The following is a 20,871-nucleotide window of genomic DNA, read 5'->3' as shown; positions in this document are numbered from 1 at the left end:
TATAAAACCTTAGCATCTCATAGCTGAAGAGGACCTTAATGATCACCTAATTTAATCTCATTCTCATTTTATTTATTTATGTATTTATTTTTAAGATGAAGTCTTGCTCTGTGGCCCAGGCCAGAGTGCAGTGGTGCGGTCTCGGCTCACTGCAACCTCTGCCTCCTGGATTCGAGCGATTCTCGTGCCTCAGCCTCCCGAGTAGCTGGGATTACAGGCATGTGCCACCACGCCTGGCTAAGTTTTTGTATTTTTGGTAGAGACGGGGTTTCACCATGTTGGTCAGGGTGGTCTCAAATTCCTGACCTCCGGTGATCAACCTGCCTCGGCATCACAAAGTGCTGGGATTACAGGCGTATGCCACTGCGCCCAGCCTGTCTTTCTCATTTTAGATGAAGACAGAGTCCCAAAAGATTTACTTTCTCAGGAATACTCAGCTAATTATGATAGAGCTGAGGACTAAGAATGTCAAGGTCTTTTGGCCCCTAGACCATAGTTATTATTACCACCACTTACAGCTTAAGGGTTGCTCTGTGCATTTCTCCTAGACTATTTGCCAAAAGTGTCCAGGAAAAATTTCATAACTAGACTCTGTAGAAGACAGCAATATCTAACAAATAGGCTAACATAGTAATCTAAAATGTTGATTGCATTTTTTTTTTTTTATGAGACGGAGTCTCACTCTGTCACCCAGGTTAGAGTGCAATGGTGTGATATCAGCTAACTGCAACCTCCACCTCCCGGGTTCAAGCGATTCTCCTGCCTCAGCCCCCTGAGTAGCTGGGACTACCACACCCAGCTAATTTTTGCTTTTTCCTTTTTTTTTTTTTAGAAGGAGTCTTGCTCTGTCATCCAGGCTGGAGTGCAGTGACGCGATCTCGGCTCACTGCAAGCTTCGCCTCCCGGGTTCACACCATTCTCCTGCCTCAGCCTCCCAACTAGCTGGGACTACAGGCACGTGCCACCACGCCCGGCTAATTTTTTTTTTGTTTTTTTTTTTTGGTAGAGATGGGGTTTCACTGTGTTAGCCAGGATGGTCTCAATCTCCTGACCTAATGATCTGCCCACCTCGGCCTCCCAGAGTGCTGGGATTACAGGCGTGAGCCACCGCGCCCAGCCAACTTTTGCATTTTTAATAGAGACGGGGTTTCACCATCTTGCCCAGGCTGGTCTCGAACTCCTGACCTCGTGATCCACCCACCTCGGCCTCCCAAAGTGTTGGGATTACAGGCGTGCGCCACCGCGCCTGGCCTTGATTGCATTTTTATTTCCAAGTCTGTATTAGGAAGAAGTTAACAGTTGTTAAGAAGTGAAATTCACAAGATCTTCAAAGACTCAGGATTAAGATGTTAAATAAGGCAAAAATATTTGGACTTTATTCACATTGATTTCTAATTAGCTATTGATAAATGTTTAATTAAACACACACGCCAGCAAAGTTCTACAAAAGAATACTTTCTTTCATATATATGGACTTTAATACATAGACATTCAGTGAATGCTAAATTATTGTTTTTCTATATATGTGATGACCTGACCTTCCAAAAATGGTTTGTTTGCTTTTAAATTTACTGAGCATTCCCTACTAGAAAAGCCAAGGCTTAGGCAAAACACTCAAACTTAGGAAATTAAACTGTAAATCTCACAAATATATTGGCAAAAGTATCTAGTGAGTCAAGGATTCTTACATTTAAATAATTTTCGTGGATTTTTTTTAAACATGAGAAATATTAACTATGAAATTATTTGAGGGCAGCATTGACTTTTTTAGATTTTCTTCAAGTTTTGGTATAACACATTTCTGTTTATATGGAAATGATCATGTTGACAGTTATTTTTATGTCAATATTTAGGGAGCATTCTATTATCAATAAAAATCTTTTCTACAGATTGCAGATTTGTGAATTACGAACATAGTAGGAAAAGGAGCTCATCAAAGGGAAGATATCAACTAAACAGATTTTAACACACACAGAAAATAAGAAAACCAATTTCCAACATTTTTTGCCCTTATAGCCCAAGAACTTAGTTCAACTCAAGTATAAGAACCTGTGTAGATACTAATAACTTATTAGGTTTTCTTGAATATTATTTCACAATTTTCTGATCCATTCAAAACATGGCAGAATTTGTACCTAACCTAATTTTCTAGTTGTACCAGGCAGAAAGTATATCCTGGAGGATAAAGAAAGATTCTTCATGAGTTATATAAGTGAAAAGTATAAAACTTGAAGTGATATTCTAACTAAATTATCAAACTGAAGTTAAACAACAAATTAGGTGACAGTATTTTGAAAACATTAAACTTTAGATTGAGGAAATGTGCATGATTTATAGATTCCCTGGTAGCCAGGGATGCATGATAAATCTTTTTTTGTTTTAAAATAATTCTTACTCAAACATCACAGGCTTCTTAAAGACGCCTTTAAAATCAGAGGTATTGTGATTGTATGTGCTTTTTTTTTTTTTAATTGGCAAAAAAGAGAAAAAGGTTTCCTTTTTAAAAACTGCACACACTTTTTTGGGGGGGTAATAAATGAACATTTTTTTGTTTGTTTTTTTTAGAACTGAGCTCTCCATAGACAAACATAAGTAGCATAACACAGTGTCTTTCCTCAGACATCATTCTGTACAGTAAATCAACATAAACAACTCCGTTCTTATTGACTGGATTTTTTCCAGGTGGGTTAATTGGGTGGGGAAAATTAATTAACCTTAACATTAGAGCCTCTTTTCTTCCTGTTAAACTTAAAGGATGAGTTCTTTAAAAAAAAGCAATAAACCAACCAACAACTGTAATCTTTCATATAGAGCAAATTTTTTTAATGACTACAATTAGAAAATATGTAGAACTATTAGTATATATACACAGAGCCATTAGGGATCATCTGAATGCCTTGGGAAGATATGGATTAAATAGAAACCAAATGTAATTATCAGATATTCTCTCAAGCTCAGTGCAAAGCTGAATTCCAAATCTATGGATTTTAAAAGCTGATATTATCTTTCTACACTGTGTAGAACAAGTGTCACAGCTTAAAAAAAAAATAGTGGTGTTGAAATTTGGGAAGTGAGCAGTTCTCTTTCCTGTGTTTAATTCAGGAAGTTTAATTTTTTTTTTCTTTAAATTCATGCCACTCTTGTTAAATGTGGTAGCAGAAACGCAGAAATTTTCATTTGGAAGTGATCTTTAGCAGGATCATGATCCTTTGTCAGATGCTTCAATTTTGCACAGATTTAATGCAGAATTTTTGTTTTAGTACTGTAAGACATACATGACAGCTGGGCATTTTTATAAAGTGTTTCTTTATTTTATGTTCAGCATTTACAGCCGAACAATACCAGCAACATCAACAGCAACTGGCACTCATGCAGAAACAGCAGCTTGCACAAATTCAGCAACAGCAAGCAAATAGTAATTCCTCCACCAACACATCACAGGTGAGGGATTTGTCTGTCTTATGATTATCCCTCATTGTTTCCCACCAGAGTTCATCTCTAATTACCAACTGTTGTCATAGAACCTTGCATCTAACCAGCAGAAAAGTGGCTTTCGCCTGAATATACAGGGTTTAGAAAGAACACTACAGGTGAGTATGGAAGCTGTTGCCTCTGCTCCCTATTTTAAAAAGTAAAACTAAAGCACTTAGTTAAATGAGATGAAGATACTGTCTTCCCGTCTGACCTGTAGTCCATTAATGTACCTCTTGAATATATAACCCCACCCAGTTCATTCTCTTGGGCATGTTAATTATTATTAAGGCTTTTAACATTATGCAAAAATAACCTCTCCAACTGTTGAAAGAGATAACTTTTAAACCTAAAGCATGATAAACGTTTGCCAGTTAAACACATGTAGGGCATAAAGGCTGAGGTTTGAGTCCCTGCATCTTGCAGGAAAAATATATTTTTAAAAAGTTGAGGGGCCTATCAATTTCTAGGTTAAATTATGTGATATTTTGTTACTTCCATTTCTAAAGGGATAGTTATCTTATCCCAAAGGTGCCTTTCATTGTGTGTGTATACATATGTGTGTGTGTATAAGTTAGGTGAAGGAAGTTTACATATTCATTTATTCATTATATGGATTTGCAAATCACTGAAATGTTTACTAGCATATTTCTTGTCCAACATTTTGTGTTGGAGGTTTGCTGTTTCCACATTATAGAAGGCTTATTTTGGTAATTGACTTATACATATTATATATTGTCACATATGAAGCAAAATTTATAACTTAGATTACTTTTCACTTATCAAATATATGACTATCAAAAGAGATATAATTACTGTTGCATCTCAAGGTACCAAAATAGAAAGATTTCAGTGGTTTGCCATTTTTACTTATATTCAAACTGATTTTGGTATGCATGTGTAGTTTTGATATTGATTTGATACTAAGTGATACTGATTAGATTTCTTTTGTATTTTCTTTTTAGGGTTTTGTTTCTAAGACTTTGGATTCTGCTAGTGCACAGTTTGCTGCTTCTGCTTTGGTGACATCAGAACAACTGATGGGATTCAAGATGAAGGATGATGTGGTGCTTGGAATCGGGGTGAATGGCGTCCTTCCAGCCTCAGGTAAGAATAAAGACATTTAAATTGTTTGGGTTATATTTATAACATATATCTATAATATAAACAGCAAAGTTGTACATTGTTTAGATGTTTCTTTCTTTTTCTCTCTAGGAGTATACAAGGGCTTACACCTCAGTAGTACTACACCAACAGCACTTGTACATACAAGTCCATCAACGGCAGGTTCAGCTTTGTTACAGCCTTCAAATATTACACAGACTTCAAGTTCCCACAGTGCACTGAGTCATCAAGTAACTGCTGCCAATTCTGCAACAACTCAGGTTCTGATTGGGAACAACATTCGATTAACTGTACCTTCATCAGTTGCCACTGTAAACTCTATTGCCCCAATAAATGCACGACATATACCTAGGACTTTAAGTGCTGTTCCATCATCTGCCTTAAAGCTGGCCGCTGCAGCAAACTGTCAAGTTTCCAAGGTCCCATCTTCATCCTCTGTAGATTCAGTTCCAAGGTGAGTAGTTATTTTTGCCTAACATACCTGGAATAAGAGATCTAACTTCAGTCCTCCAGCATCGTTCTTTACCTATTTCTTTGTGTTTCTTGTTCTTTTCCTTTTATACATTGAAAATGTATAGTTGAGAATTGATCACTTATTTATTCAAGAACTAAACAGTTCTTGAACACTTAATTCAATATTAAGAATTTGAACTAACTGGTATAGTGAATGTTGCATATATGATTTGGAACATCCCTTTCTTACTATAACAATAGTTATACCAGGTGCAGTGGCTCACGCCTGTAATCCTAGCACTTTGGGAGGCAGAGGCAGGCAGATCACCTAAGGTCAGGAGTTCGAGAACAGCCGATCCAACATGGTGAAAGGCCACCTCTACTAAAAATACAAAATCACCCGGGCATGGTGGCGCATGCCTGTAATCTCAGCTACTCAGGAGGCTGAGGCAGGAGAATCGCTTGAACCTGGGAGGTGGAGGTTGCAACCAAGATCGCACCATTGCACTCTGGCCAGGGCAACAAGAGCTAAACTCTGTCTCAAAAAAAAAAAAAAGCGTATAATGCTCTCAGTTTTCTTCCGTCTTTGGATGGAAGGAGTTCTCCTGAGAGCGTTTCTTTTATGACTTTTTTTCCACAGCTTCTCATGTAAACAGGTAGAATTGATAGAAACCCCTGCCCCATCACTGGTATGCTAAGCTATTCTTTTTTTTTTTTTTTTTTTTTTTTTTTTGAGACCGAGTCTCGCTCTGTTGCCCAGGCTGGAGTGCAGTGGCACAATCTCAGCTCACTGCAATCTCTGCCTCCCAGGTTCAAGTGATTCTGTCTCAGCCTTCTGAGTAGATGGGATTACAGGCATACACCGCGATGCCTGGCTAATTTTTGCATTTTTAGCAGGGACGGGGTTTCACCATGTTGGCCATGCTAGTCTTGAACCCCTGACCTCAGGTGGTCAGCCTGCCTTGGCCTCCCAAAGTGCTGGAATTACAGGCATGAGCCACCACGCCCGGCGTTAAGCTATTCTTATTAATGTAAAGACTTACAGTATTCATGCCAGGTCAACTCTAAATTGAACCATTATTTTTTGTGCTAACTTGCCGTCTTGGATTTCAGTAGACAGTTGAGAATTTTGCTTATGCTCTATTATGTTGTAGAATTAAGGGTAGTTAAAATCCTGCTGTCTACAAGGTACTGTGGGAGAAACAAAAGAAAAAGACAGGTGTTTTCAGTTTAGTTAGCAGACAAGCATAAAAGAGTGAGAAGTCCAATAATGCTAATTGTAGATATCACAAAGCATTATATACTTGTTAAATTAATTGTATAGATGATGGCTGTAATTCAGTATAAGGAGAAATCTTTTTTTGCACAGGGAATTCTGGGACTCTTCTAACAAAATAAGATCAGATCCAATCTGTGTTAGTCTTCGGGCAAAGAGGAGAAAGAAAAAGCATTTCTGGCAGGTGGAGTGAAATACAAATTTGAGGCTGAGTGAAAATACAAAGTTGAGGAAATACAAGTGTTTAGAAGTTAACAAGTAAACTGGTTTTTGTATAGGCTCAGGAAGGTTAGTAGTTTAAATTGGAATGGCAGGAGAAGCCATTCCAGATTCCTGGAGCACTTTAAATGCCAGACTGGTAGACTGTCTCAGCCAGGAGTGGCCCAGAAGAAAGCAGGGTTTGTAGCAATGAACTGTGGCCTGTAGTTTCCAAACCATGCATCTGCATCTGCTTCTGAATTTAAGTAACAGTCATTGTCTGCTTAATGCCAATCCATTCTTAATAGTATTCTGGGTCTAATTATATAGCTCATCTGTCAGCTATAGTTCTGACTCATATCATGATTTTACTGCTCTAGAATTGTTTAACCATGGAATATTTGCCATGTATAGAATTTTCATATCACATGTCCTTTTGTTTTTAAAGATGAAGAAACTGAGACGCAGAGAAGTTAATGTATTTCTCTAAGGACACTCAAAAGTCTAGACTGTAGAACCACTAGGGCCCTCGAGCTCTGTGGCTGTGCCACTCAGCTCCATGTATTAGACTGATTTAAAGCCTGACACAAATCTCAGTTATGTTTGTTTCCTTTTTAAAAACTCTTTTGAAAGGTTTAATAGAGAAGGAACTTGAAACAACAATTACTAAAACATGGGAATTCTTTGTTTTTAACATCTAGGTTGCTTGAGTACTACTATAATTTTGATGGTAATGTAGTTGACTGTGGAATTTATTTATAGTCAACATTAGCCTGATTTCTGATAATAAACTATAAAGATTCGTATTCCTCTACTTGCTAGCTTGTTCCCAAAGAGTCCAATTTCTTCCTGTTAATAAAAATAAACTTTTTGTTGGGAAGATAATGTTCATTTGCTGAATATTTATGTTGTAGATAAGTAATTGATTGAACTTTATTTCAACAGGGAAAATCATGAATCAGAAAAGCCAGCACTGAACAACATAGCAGACAACACAGTAGCGATGGAGGTGACGTAGCTTCCTCCGAGTGGAACTGCAGCCTGGGGACTTGATTAGGTGCTATGCATCAGTAGCATTTTGAATGCAAGGGATGATGGAAAGCAGCACATGCGTTTCTGTGGCAGCTGTGGGGACTTGACAGCAATGCTCATCTCTCATGCTTCAATTTTTCTTTTCTTACTGTTAATAGGAAAAAAATCAACATCTGTAAATTAAGAATACAGCAATTATCTGTACAGTACTGCATATTTGTAATACCCTTGTATATATGTTACTTGAATACAGAAATGTTCATTTGTGATGCTTTGCACTTGGGGGTGGGGGGTGGGAGGGAAATCAATTGCAACAAAGAGTGTGAGATGTGAGATTGTATAGAGATGAAGTGTCATCACATCATGTGCATGGTGCGGAACCTGCTGTTTTATCTATTTATTGTGCCGTGTTTACAGTTTTTTGTACACTGTACCTTCATTGGTTCCTGTGCTGTAGTAAATGTGTTAGGTAGCTGTGGACTCCTTGGTATTTTGTAAATGGTATAACATAACTTGGTTCCCCTCTGGGTCCTTGAGTTTTCTGTGTATCATGTGAAAAAAAATGGTGACATACATACAGAATTTTACAAAAAAAAAAAAAAAAAAAAAGGCATCAGTTTTTTTAAAAATGGGGAATGTACTATTAAATGGGGATCTTCCTGGTCTACTATCATTAGGACAAGTAACAAGCTAAAAATGAAGTCTCTTGAATCTTTCCATCCCCAACTTGCCCACAAAGCTGTGGGTGGTTTCTGGTACTTAAAGCACTAATATTATGTTGCTGCTCTGCGAACAGCCCAGTAGTCCCATTTCCTTCCACACCAAAAAGTGTTAAATCAAGTATGCAAATGGAGTCCTTACAACTGGAGTTTATGTTGTCTTGCCCTTTTTTTAGCACAAAAAAAATTGTACTTTTTTATTGTCGAATTGTTTAAAAGACTTCATTCTTTACTTGTTCTTACGAAAAGGATATAAGGGAGAAGAATGCAGTAATTGCTGTACGTGTATCATCATTCCAGTTTCTAAAAACAGCCAGCCAGCTTTTTTCCTTTTAAGATTCTCCAGAAGGCTGCAAGGCCAGAACCACAAATATCGGGTGCCTTCCTTTGGAAATATTTGACCTCTCTTCTGTGAAGAGAATGGTACTTAACAGACTACTACTAGTGCTTTGTCAGTACCGAAGTCTGAATGCCCAGTCCAATGGCATACATTATCCTTAAGGTTTTTAATCCCACCTGGAAAAATTGTGATAGAATTCTCACAAAATAAACCCAGGGCATTACATGTTGACAAACTAATGTGTAGTGGTCTTTTGCTTTTGTTTTCAACCCAAGAACCTCTGTGTGACTTATATTAGAATCATTCCATAAAGGAGGGGATGGAAATGGGGGGTGATGACTTTAAGTTCATTTTCTTCAACAGTTACTTACTGAATGACTGCAATGCCTGGGACCACTTTAGGTCCTACAACTGTGGGGAAAATAATTCCTGCCCTCATGGAGCTTATACTCTCATAGGGGGAAAATAAATAAATAAATGCATTTAAAATATATTACGACCAGTATTTGGAAGAAAAGTGAAGGAAGGGAACAAACAGTGCCCGGGAAGGCTGGAGGTTGCAGTTTCAAGTAGGGTGGTCAAGGAAGGGCCCACAGGCAGTTATGTTTCATCAGAGACTGGAAGTTAAGGAAAAATATTCCAGGCAGAGAGAAGTACAGAGATCCCGAGGTGGTAGTGTGTCTACTGCACTGGATAACACCGCCAGGGCTGGAGGGAGCTGGGGTAGGGCGTGTCGGCCACAGGGAGCCAGCTCACAGTGGACTGGGGGATGATTTAAGGACATTAGCTTTTCCTCTGAGAAAGGAGTTTGGAGCCATGGAGTGACATGGTCTGAAGAGGCTCACTCTGGCTTTGTTATTCAGAACAGACTGCAGGAGGAGCCCAGTTAGGAAGCTAGTTGCAGTAATGCAAGTGAGAGACAAGGATAATAAGGCCGAGGATGGTAGTGAGAAGTGATTGGATACTGTTCTTTAAAGGGACCTATTAAAATTTGCTTACTGAATTTAGATGTAAGGGGCTTGAGAAAGAGAAGAGTTAGGATGACTTCAGGGTATTTGGCCTGAGCAACTGACCACAGGTGGAAAGCACTGTGGGAGGAGTGGGTTTGCGAGATCCAAAATTCAGCTTCACACTGTTAGACATCCAAATAGAGATTTCAAGTAGGTGGTTGCATATATAAAAGTATGGAGTTTGGAGGAGAGGTTTCAGCTGGAGACCAAAACTTGAGAGTCATCTTCATCATTGAAGTTCAAAGCCATGAATTTGGATGCGATCACCAAGAGTAGAATCAAATCTGTAAAACAGCTGCCAATGATAGGGTGTTCCACTTACTCTTGACTTTAAGAATTCCTTGTCTCTAAAGGGTAAACTTCCAATTTGCATAACTTTTTGTTTATTCTGTTCTGTATTCTTTAAGGAGAAAATACAAAAAGCTGCCTTTTTCTAGTGACTGATCAGAGTGACTAAAATGTAAACGGTAAATTACTGGCTTAAATGTACTCAAGAATAATTAGGATTGAAATTTCTGAAATCCAACAGATAGAGCAAGGCCTGGGTCCCCACAATCTGCTCAGTATACCTGCTGCCCACAGGCACGTTCATAAATGGCTTGCGGAACAATGAAATGAGACTTGCGTTGGGGTTCATAAGTGACAAGCACTTCCATGTAGCATTTATCCTCTTATTCGACCAGACTAACTGTGAGATGCAGAAAAAATACAAATTAGTTTTATGTCCATTTTAAAATAAGGGCATTTAGCTAAAACTGGCGTTTTTGGCCTCTAAAATTTCCATTTTTCCATATACTTCCCCACCAATGTTGTAATAGCCCAAAGTGACCTGATACAAAAGAGTAATTTAAACACTTAGGGAAAATGAGAGATAAGTTATCAGGAAACCTTGACAACTAGTCTAATTAATAACTATCACTTACGGAGTATTTAACAGCCCCTGTGCATAGTCATTATCTCATTTAATCCTCACAAGAACCCTTTTAAGCAGATTCTAGGATTATCAGGATTATCACCATACCTGTAGGTGGGATTCAGTCAAGGTCAGATAGTGATTGGCGGTCTAGGATTTAAACACATTATCTGCCAGACACCAAAGGTGCTATTAGCCCACCACTCCTATGTGGAGAAGCCTGGAAACAGGTTTGAGCATAGCTTCCTTGGTAACCTGCATTCCTATTGTGTTCCTAAAGAAATTGGTCCTGTTAATTCTGTTACTCCTGGCATTGTTATACCTTTGTCCATTTCATGAGAAGTCCAGAAAACATCCCAAATGTGTGACTTTTTGCCCTAGATATAAATTTTTTTTTTCCAGAAGAACGATGTAAACTGTTTTCTGAACTCCAAATTTAGAAGGTTTTTTCCATGAATTTTTTATTCTTTTTTAAAATGGAGTTTGGCTCTGTTGCCCAGGCTAAAAAGTGCAGTGGTGCAATCTTGGCTCGCTGCAACCTTCACCTCCCAGGTTCAAGCGATTCTCCTGCCTCAGCCTCCCGAGTAGCTGGGATTACAGGCACGTGTCACCACACCCGGCTAATTTTTGTATTTTTAGTAGAGACGGGGTTTCACCATGTTAGTCAGGCTCATCTCGAACTCCTGACTTCAGGTGATCCAGCCGCCTCGGCCTCCCAGTGTGCTGGGATTACAGGCATGAGCCACCGTGCCCGGCCTTTTTCATGAATATTAATGCATAATATGTTACAGATAGGTAGGCAGAGGGCTTCACAGCCCTGACTAATGCTCAGCAGAGCAGATCTACTTTTGTCTATGTTATATGTTGGTGTTCCATGTGAGAATTCTTTCAACAAGTGTTCCACAATTTTTTTAAAGTTTGAAATAGCAATAGATGAATGAATAGATAAATAGCACATTGATTCAACAAATATTTATTAACTATGTCATGTGCTATTGTAGATGTGTAAAGGTGTGATCAGATGACCACTGAGGTCCAGGCAGCTATGGTTCAAATCCTGGCTGTGTCGCTGGCTAGCTGTGTGATTTCACATTTAAGTCACTTGCCTTCCCTAAACTTAAGTGTCTAAAATGGGGAGAAAAATAGTACTTACATTGTTCATTGTTGAGAGAATTAAATGTTATATGCAAGTACAGTATTCACTCGCTCCAATGTTTAGAGGGAAAAAAAAGATAAAGTACACAATGCCTTCGACTAAAAAGGACTGAATTTTTTTTTCCTTTTTTTTTTTGAGACTCACTCTGTCACCCAGGCTGGAGTGCAGTGGCACGATCTCGGCTCACTGCAGCCTCCTCCTCCCAGGTTCAAGCGATTCTCGTGCCTCAGCCTCTTGAGTAGCTGGGATTACAGGCAAGTGCCACCACGCCCGGCTAATTTTTGTATTTTTAGTAGAGGTGAGGTTTCACCATGTTGGCCAGGCTGGTCTCGAATGCCTGACCTTGTGATCCACCCGCCTCGGCCTCCCAAAGTGCTGGGATTACAGGCTTGAGCCACCGCGCCTGGCCAGGACTGAATTTTATGCTGTTAAGATGATGCATTCAGATAGGCATTTGGGAAATAATTCACAGCTTGGTATTTGTTCTGGTTTTCCAGTTTTTTGCCAATAAGTTACAGACACATATACCCTTCATTTCGTGTTCTATTACGATGAGAAATTGACTCAGTTCACTGTGGCCTAAATTGCAAAAGACATGCAAAGTTTAGCCAAGATATACTGGAGCCCACTCACATTGGCTCATGAGAATCAGCTGTCAACGTTTTCAGGAATTTAATGAACTGCTGGCTAAACAATTATTATTTTTTATATAAACTTGCAGTTAAATATATAAAAGTGCCGGGCAAGTGGCTCATGCCTGTAATCCTGTAATCCCAGCACTTTGGGAGGCCATGGCGAGCGGATCATCTGAGGTCAGGAGTTCAACACCAGCCTGGCTACATGGTGAAACCCCATCTCTACTAAAAATACAAAAATTAGCCAGGCATGGTGGTGTACACCTGTAATCCCAACTATTCAGGAGGCTGAGGCAGGAGAATCACTTAAACCCAGGAGGCAAAAGTTGCAGTGAGCCAAGATTGTGCCACTGCACTCCAGCCTGGGTGACAGAGCAAGATCCCATCTAAAAAAAATTATATATATATATATATGCAAAGACAATACAAGAAAATAAAACTACAGACCAATATCCGTGGTGTGAGTATTGATGTAAGATTTGTTACCCAGAAAAAAAAGCAGGGTTCGTCCACCTGGTGAGTAACAGACAAGTCCCCATGAGAGTGTGGGTTTTGATCAATATGAGTTTTATTACTTGGCACACATAAAGAGAGCACTGGGCACATTCTCCCAAGCAGTGTCTCCCTGAGGGAAAGTGACAGGAGGGTTTGATGGGTGATGGAGATGGGAGAGGATGCACCATTGCACATAGAGGGAGGGGGTCCCAGTTGTGCAGATGCAGTGAGTCATTATGTCAGCACATAGGTCATGTATTATGGTAAGGAAGTGATAGCTCCTCCCAGGGTGTGTCCAGAGTTTAGCATGGTAATAAAAGTTCACTGGGGTTCATCTATTAAGTTGCTGGGGTCTCTCAGAAGCTGTGTTAAACTAGGTGACCACATTCCACACAGGGTTTGGGGAAAAAAAAAACAGGCTGATTGCTCAAGTTGATTAAATTCCTATAGTCCCTGGAGACGCTCCCTCCTGTCTCTGTCACCCAAGGGCTGGAGTCCAGTGGTTCAGTCTCGGCTCACTACAGCCTCCACCTCCCAGACTGAAGCAATTCTCCTGCTTCAGCCTCCTGAGTAGCTGGGACTACAGGCACGCACCACCACGCCCAGCTAATTTTTGTAGTTTTAGTAGAGACTGGGTTTCACCATGTTGACCAAGCTGGTCTCGAACTCCTGACCTCAAGTGATCCGCCCACCTTGGTCTACAGACGTGAGCCACCACGCCCAGCCTGCTTACAATGTTTTTAACAAAATACCAGCAAACAGAATTCAGGAGCACATTAAGAGGATTATACAAGATAACCATGTGGGATTTATTGCCAGAACGCAAGGATGGTTCAACATACGAAAATCAATCAATGTAATACACATCATTAACAGAATGATAGAAAAAAATCCACACAATCTTCTCAAATAATGCAGAGTTGGACAAAATTCAATACCCTTCATGAGAAAAACACTCAACAAACTAGGAACAGAGGGAAACCACCACAGCATAATAAAGATGTGATAATCAGAAATGTATATATTTGTTCTCTGTCCCTGGTTCAAAACCCTTGGAATTTCCCCAGTGATAGGGGTGAGAGGAGCATCTCTTGTTATTCATAGCCAGCCCCTTTCAACAATACCTGGGTTTATGCTAATAAGGTGACTGTTCGTGGGCCCCTAAATAGCTCCAGGATGGGGACTGGTTACCAGAGGAACCAACCATGTGACTAGGGGACTGGAACTTTCAGTCTGACCCCCAGACTTGAGGGAAGTGAAGAGGGGCTAGAGATTGGGTTCAATTACCAATGGCCAATGATCTCATCAATCATGCCTACTTAATGGAACCTCCATAAAACTCCCTAAATACCAGGGTTCAGAGAGCTTCTGGATTGGTGAACACATCGAGGTGCTAGGAGGGTGGCATGCCCAGAGAAGGTATAGAAGCTCAGCACCACCAGGCCGGGAGCAGTGGCTCATGCCTGTAATCCCAGCACTTTGTGAGGCCAAGGCAGGCGGATCATCTGAGGTCAGGAGTTTGAGACCACCCTGACCAACATGGAGAAACCCCATCTCTACTAAAAATGCAAAATTAGCAGAGCTTGGTGGCATGTGCCTGTAATCCCTGCTACTCAGGAGGCTGAGACAGGAGAATCACTTGAACCCGGGAGGCAGAGGTTGCGGTGAGCTGAGATTGCACCACTGCACTCCAGCCTGGGCAACAAGAGTGAAACTCCGTCTCAAAAAAAAAAAAAAGAAGCTCAGCACCACCAACCCCATCCCATCCCTATTTCTTGTCTTATGCATCTTTTCCATTTGGCTGTTTCTGAGTTGTATCCTTTATAATAAACTGGTAATAGTAAAGCCATTTCTTGAGTTTTGTGAGCTATTGTAGCAAACTATCAAACCTGAATGTGAGTGGATGGTCATAGGAACTCCCAATTTATACCCAGTTACAGTTAGTCAGAAGTACAGGTGGCAACCTGGGACTTGTGACTAGTGTCTGGAGTGAGGGTGGTCTTGTAGGACTGAGCCCTTAGCCTATGTGGTTTACACTAACTCGAGGCAGTGTCTACATTGAATTGTAGGACACCCAGTTGGTGTCCAGAGGGTTGGAAAACTAGTTGCTGGTGTGGAAAAACTCCATATATTTAGTGTAGGAAGTGTTCTGGTGAAAACTCTTCATTGACACATATGAAAACCCCACAGCTAACATTATACTCAATGGTAAAAGAGTGAAAAGTTTTCATCTAAGATCGGGAACAAGACAAGGATACCCATCGTCACCACTTCCATTCAACACAATACTACTACCTGCTTTCAGGTAGCAGTCCCAGTGAGAGCAATTAGGCAAGAAACAGAAATAAAACTCATCTAAATCAGAAAGAGAGAAGTAAAATTATCTCTTCATATAACATGATCTTATATGTAGAAAACCCTGAAGACTACACACACACACACACACACACACACACACGCACATACACACACACAAACCTGTTAGAAATAATAGATTCAGCAGGCCGGGCACGGTGGCTCACACCTGTAATCCCAGCATTTTGGGAGGCTGAGGCGGGCAGATCAACTTAGGTCAGGATTTCAAGACCAGCCTGTCTAACATGGCAAAACTCTGTCTCTGCTAAAAATACAAAAATTGGCCAGGCGCAATGGTGGGTGCCTGTAATCCCAGCTACTTGGGAAGCTGACGCAGGGAGAGTTGCTTGAACCCGGAAGGCGGAGGTTGCAGTGAGCTGAGATCGGGGCACTGCACTCCAGCCTGAGCAACAGAGCGAAAGAAAGAAAAGAAAGAAAGAAAGAGAGAGAGAGTTATAATAGCACCAACAAGAATAAAATACTTAGGAATGCACTTAAACAAGGAGATGAAAGATTTATACACAGAAAACTACAAAACATGGCTGAAGAAAATCAAGACACAAATAAATGGAAAGACATCTTGTGTTCATGGATAGGAAGACTTATTATTGTTAAGATATCAACACTACCCAACATGATCTACAGATTTAATGCAACCCTTATCAAAATTACTACAGCAATTTTTGCAGAAATAGAAAAACTCTTCCTAAATGTCAAGGGATCCTGCGTAGCCAAAACAATCTTGAGAAAGAACGATGCTGGAGGGCTCACACTTCCTGATTTCAAACCTTACTAAAACCTACAGTAATCAAAACAATGTGGTAATGGCATTAAGACAGATATAGAGGCCGGGCGTTGTGGCTCACAGCTGTAATCCCAGCACTTTGGAAGGCTCAGGCGGGTGGATCACTTGAGGTTAGGTGTTCAAGACTCAGCCTGGCCAACACGGCAAAACCCTGTCTCTAATAAAAACACAAAAATTAGTTGGACATGGTGACGCACGCCTGTAATCCCAGCTACTTGGGAGGCAGAGGCAGGACAATTGCTTGAACCCGGGAGGTGGAGGTTGCAGTGAGCCAAGATTGCACCACTGCACTCCAGACTGGGCAACAGAGCGAGATTCTATCTCAAAAAATAAAAATAAAAAAATAAAATGAGGCTGGCACGGTGACTCACGCCTGTAATCCCAGCACTTTGGGAGGCCGAGACAGGCAGATTACCTGAGGTCAGGAGTTCGAGACCACCCTGACAAACATGGAGAAACCTCATCTCTACTAAAAGTACAAAATTAGCTAGGAGCGGTGGCGCATGCCTGTAATCCCAGCTACTTGGGAGGCTGAGGCAGGAGAATCGCTTGAACCCGGGAGGCAGAGGTAGGTTGTGGTGAGCCAAGATCGCGCCACTGCACTCCAGCCTGGGCAACAGAGCAAGACTCCATCTCTCAAAATAAAATAAAATTATAATAATTAAATAAATTAATAAAATGTAAGACTGAAAACTCTAGAACTTTTAGGAGAAAACAGAAAGAAAAAGCTTCTTGGATTTGTTCAGATTTATCTGATACGATACCAAAGGCATAAGCAACAAAAGAAAAAATGCACAAATTAGATTACATCAAAATGTAAAACTTCTGACCCAGCTCGGAGGTTCATGCCTGTAATCCCAACACTTTGAGAGGGCAAGGTGGGAGGATTGCTTGAGGCCATGATTTCAAGACCAGCCTGGGCAACATACTAAGACACCATCTCTACCAAAAAAAAAAAAAAAAAAAAGGGCATAATGGTATATTCCTGTAATCCTAGCTACCCAGGAGGCTGAGGGAGGAGGATTGCTTGAGCCCAGAAGGTTGAGACTGCATTCAGCGGTAATCGTAACACTGCACTCCAGCCCAGGAAACAGAGGGCACCCTGTCTCAAAAAATAAAAATAAAAGCTTCTGGCTGGGCACCGTGGCTCACACCTGTAATCCCAGCATTTTGGGAGGCCAAGGCGGGCAGATCACAAGGTCAGGAGTTTAACACCAGCCTGACCAACACGGTGAAACCCCGTCTCTACTAAAAATACAAAAAATTAGCCGCGTGTGGTGGCGGGCGCCTGTAGTCCCAGCTACTCGAGAGGCTGAGGCAGGAGAATGGCGTGAACCCGGGAGGCGGAGCTTGCAGTGAGCCGAGATCTCGCCACTGCACTCCAGCCTGGGCACAGAGCGAGACTCTGTCTCAAAAAAAAAAAAAAAAAAGTAGAATTACCATATGACCTAGGGATTCCACTTCTAAGTATACATCTCAAAGAATTGAAAGCAAGGTCTTGAAGAGATATTTGTACATTTATATTCATAGCAGCATTATTCACAACAGCCAAAAGGTAGAAACAAAGTGCCCATCAACAAGGAAAATGTGGTGTATACATACAATGGAATATTATTCAGCTTTTAAAGCGGAGCTTGCAGTGAGCCGAGATCGCCCCACTACACTCCAGCCTGGGTGAAAGTTCGAGACTTCGTCTCAAAAAAAAAAAAAAAAAAAAAAACAGAAAACAAAAAACAAAAAAACAGGGAAATCCTGTCACATGCTACAACATGGATGAACCTTGAGGACATTATGCTAAGTGAAATAAAAGTCACAAAAAGACAAATGTGGTATGATTCCACATATTGAGGTATCTAAAGTACTCAAACTCATACAAATAAAAAGCAGAAAGATGGTCGCCAGGGACCAAGGGAGGAGGAAATAGGAAATTGTTATTTAATAGGTATAGTGATTCAGTTTTACAAGAGGAGGCCAGGCGCGGTGGCTCACACCTGTAATCCCAGCACTTTGGGAGACCAAAGTGGGCAGATCACCTGAGGTTGGGAGTTCGAGACCAGCCTGACCAATATGGTGGAACCCCGTCTCTACTAATAATACAAAAAATTAGCCAGGCACGGTAGCGGGCGCTTGTATTCCCAGATACTTGGGAGACTGAGGTGGGAGAATTGCTTGAACCCAGGAGGCAGAGGTTGCGCGGTGAGCCGAGTCACTGCACTCCAGCCTGGAGTTTTACAAGATGAAAAGAACTCCGGACATTGGTCGCACAACAATGTGAAGATACTTAGGACTACTGAACTGCACAGTTAAAAATAAAGAAAGGCTGGATGCGGTGGCTGGGGCCTGTAATTGAGTGCTTTGGGAGGCTGAGGCAGGAGGATTGCTTGAAGAGTTTGAGACCAGACTCTTGCAAGAAAGCAAGACCCTGTCTGTACAAAAAATAAAAAAATTAGCTGGGTGTAGTGTGCCTTGTAGTCCCAGCTACTCGGGAGGCTGGGGCAGGAGGATCACTTGAGTCCCAGAGTTCAAGGTACCACTGTATTCCAGCCTTGGTGACAGAGCGAGATCGTGTCTCTAAATAAATAAATATATAAATATATATATATATAAAAAGATGTAACTTTTATGCCATATATATTTTACCACAGTTAAAAATTTCTGGCTAGATGCGGTGGCTCACGCCTGTAATGCCAGCATTTTGGGAGGCCGAGGTGGGTGGATCACCTGAGGTCGGGAGTTTGAGACCAGCCTGACCAACACTGAGAAACCCCGTCTCTACTAAAAGTACAAAATTAGCTGGGCGTGGTGGTGCATGCATGCCTGTAATCCCAGCTACGTGGGAGGCTGAGGCAGGAGAACTGCTTGAACCTGGGAGGCAGAGGTTGTGGTGAGCTGAGATTGTGTCATTGCACTCCAGCCTGGGCAACAAGAGCGAAACTCCGTCTCAAAAAAAGAAAAAAAAGAGTATTATTTCTGTTCACTGTCTTTTTTTTTTTTTTTTTTTTTTGAGAGAAAGAATGGGTCTCACTCTGTCACCCAGTCAGGAGTGCAGTGCAGTGGCACGACACAACCACAGCTCACTGCAGCCTTGAACTCCCAGGCTCGAGTGATCCTCCCACCCTAGCCTCCCGCATAGGTGGGACTACAAGTGCACACCATTACGACTGGCTGATTTTTATTTTTTTTATTTTTTGTTGCCAGGACTGGTCTCGAACTGTTGGGCTCAGGCGATCCTCCTGCCCTGGCCTCCCCAAGTGCTAGGATTACAGGTGTGAACCGCCACACTGGGACTGTTCACTGTCTTCTTTTGGAGCAAGAGGCTTGGGGAGAGGGAAGTAAAAAGGATCACAGAGACCTGGTGGGGGAAGTGTCAAGCCTACAGTTCTGTGTTTGGACCTCTATAGGTCTGCTGCATTTTTCATAGCTGTCCTTTCTGCCCAGGACAGCTTGGACCAAACCCCCCTCCAGCAGAAGTCCCTGGGCCTGGTCCAAGCCTACACATCCCACATCTCCATGCAAACACACCTCTTTAAATATTAATGATAGAGAGACGGGCCAAAGTTAGTGGCTCTGGAATTCATTCTAATGTAGATAGAGAGATGGCCCAAAGTTAGTGGCTCTGAAATTCATTCTAATGTAATCAAAAGCAAAAAGAGCCAGATCTCTGAGACCATAGGTGGTAAACTGGCCGATAAAACATTCTACATTCTCGCTAAACATTTGGTAATTGCCTGCTAATTTGGCCACTTGATTAGTGATGGGGGAAGTCACTGGTGCCGCCTAGTGGCAATCTTTGGGAACGAGCGAAACCGCATAGCTGCCCAGAAATCGTGGACAATGAAAGGCCCAGTTAGGTGACAAAGTGCAAAAACAGAGTGTACCATTTTGCCTCCACTTGTGTTATCAAGAGGGATAGAGATTGGGAACAGGGCTACACATAGACTATCTCTAGAAACGTCACCATGTGATTGGAATGCTTTAAAGTGTTTTTAAGCAATAGATACAGTTTTTCCTTGTGTAAGGAGAGATGGATCACATGGCAAATGCTTACTGAGGCTGTGCCAGCCACTTTTGGACACTGTTTCTCAAAGTCTGGTCCTCCGACCACCCGCATAGGAATCACTTGACACGCTGATAAAAATGCATATCCTGGCCGGGTGCGGTGGCTCACGCCTGTAATCCCAGCATTTTGGGAGGCCGAGGTGGGAGGATCACTTGAGGTCAGGAGTTCGAGACCAGCCTGGCCAACATGGTGAAACCCCGTTTCTACTAAAAATACAAAATTAGCTGGGCGTGGTGGCTTGGGCCTGTAATCCCAGCTAGGAAGGCTGAGGTGGGAGAATCGCTTGAACCTGGGAGGAGGACGTTGCAGTGAGCTGAGACCATGCCACTGCACACCAGGCTGGGCAACAGAGTGGGATTCCATCTAAAAGAAAAAAAAAAAAAAACCTGGGCGCGGTGGCTCACACCTGTAATCCCAGCACTTTGGGAGGCCGAGGCAGGCGGATCACCTGAGGTCAGGAGACCAGCCTGGCCAACAAGGTGAAACCCCGTCTCTACTAAAAATAAAAAATTAGCCAAGTGTGGTGACATGCAACTGTGGGCCCAGCTACTCAGGAGGCTGAGGCAGGAGAATCGCTTGAGCCCAGGAGGTGGAGGTTGCAGTGAGCCAAGATGGCACCACTGCACTCTAGCCTGGGTGACAGAATGAGATGCTGTCTAAAAAAAAAAAAAAAAAGCATATCCCCTAACATCATGCAAACCCTACAGAATCCGTGTCTCTGGGAGTGAACATGCAAAACAAGCTCTCTAGGTGAATCTTATGAACAGTTTTTGAGAACCACTTGGATTCAAACAAGTGTAAGAAATTGAAGTGGGAGACTCGGCAACA

At 41.6% G+C, this 20,871-nt stretch overlaps 1 protein-coding gene across 11 annotated transcripts in view, besides 1 other annotated feature; it reads left to right on the top strand.

The window, feature by feature from the left end:
* EPC1 (enhancer of polycomb 1) overlaps window positions 1-8,853 on the top strand; it is a 111,019-nt gene extending 102,166 nt beyond the window's left edge. For 6 of the 11 annotated variants that reach the window (NR_168508.1, NR_168511.1, NM_001282391.3 and 3 more), the window contains 4 exons: window positions 3,323-3,441; window positions 4,437-4,578; window positions 4,687-5,050; window positions 7,469-8,853. Coding sequence is in view for 7 of the 11 variants with exons in the window: in NM_001282391.3 (NP_001269320.1) it covers window positions 3,323-3,441; window positions 4,437-4,578; window positions 4,687-5,050; window positions 7,469-7,541 (698 nt within the window). In the remaining 4 variants the exon portion in view is untranslated. Of the gene's footprint in view, window positions 1-2,565; window positions 2,683-3,322; window positions 3,442-3,489; window positions 3,591-4,436; window positions 4,579-4,686; window positions 5,051-7,468 lie in introns of those variants that run through there. The other 5 variants (NM_001382754.1, NM_025209.5, NR_168510.1 and 2 more) reach the window with 4 other exon arrangements.
* Window positions 19,747-19,866: a silencer, noted in NCBI's record as "silent region_2284". NCBI's record gives its function as "represses an Ori minimal core promoter by ATAC-STARR-seq in GM12878 lymphoblastoid cells {active_cell/tissue: GM12878}" and the evidence as "EXISTENCE:reporter gene assay evidence [ECO:0000049][PMID:35858748]".

Source organism: Homo sapiens, chromosome 10 (genome assembly GCF_000001405.40).
Source record: "Homo sapiens chromosome 10, GRCh38.p14 Primary Assembly".
NCBI classification, from domain to species: Eukaryota; Metazoa; Chordata; class Mammalia; order Primates; family Hominidae; genus Homo; species Homo sapiens.
The sequence above is the reverse complement of the archived record's forward strand: the minus strand, read 5'-3'. Positions and strand labels throughout refer to the sequence as shown.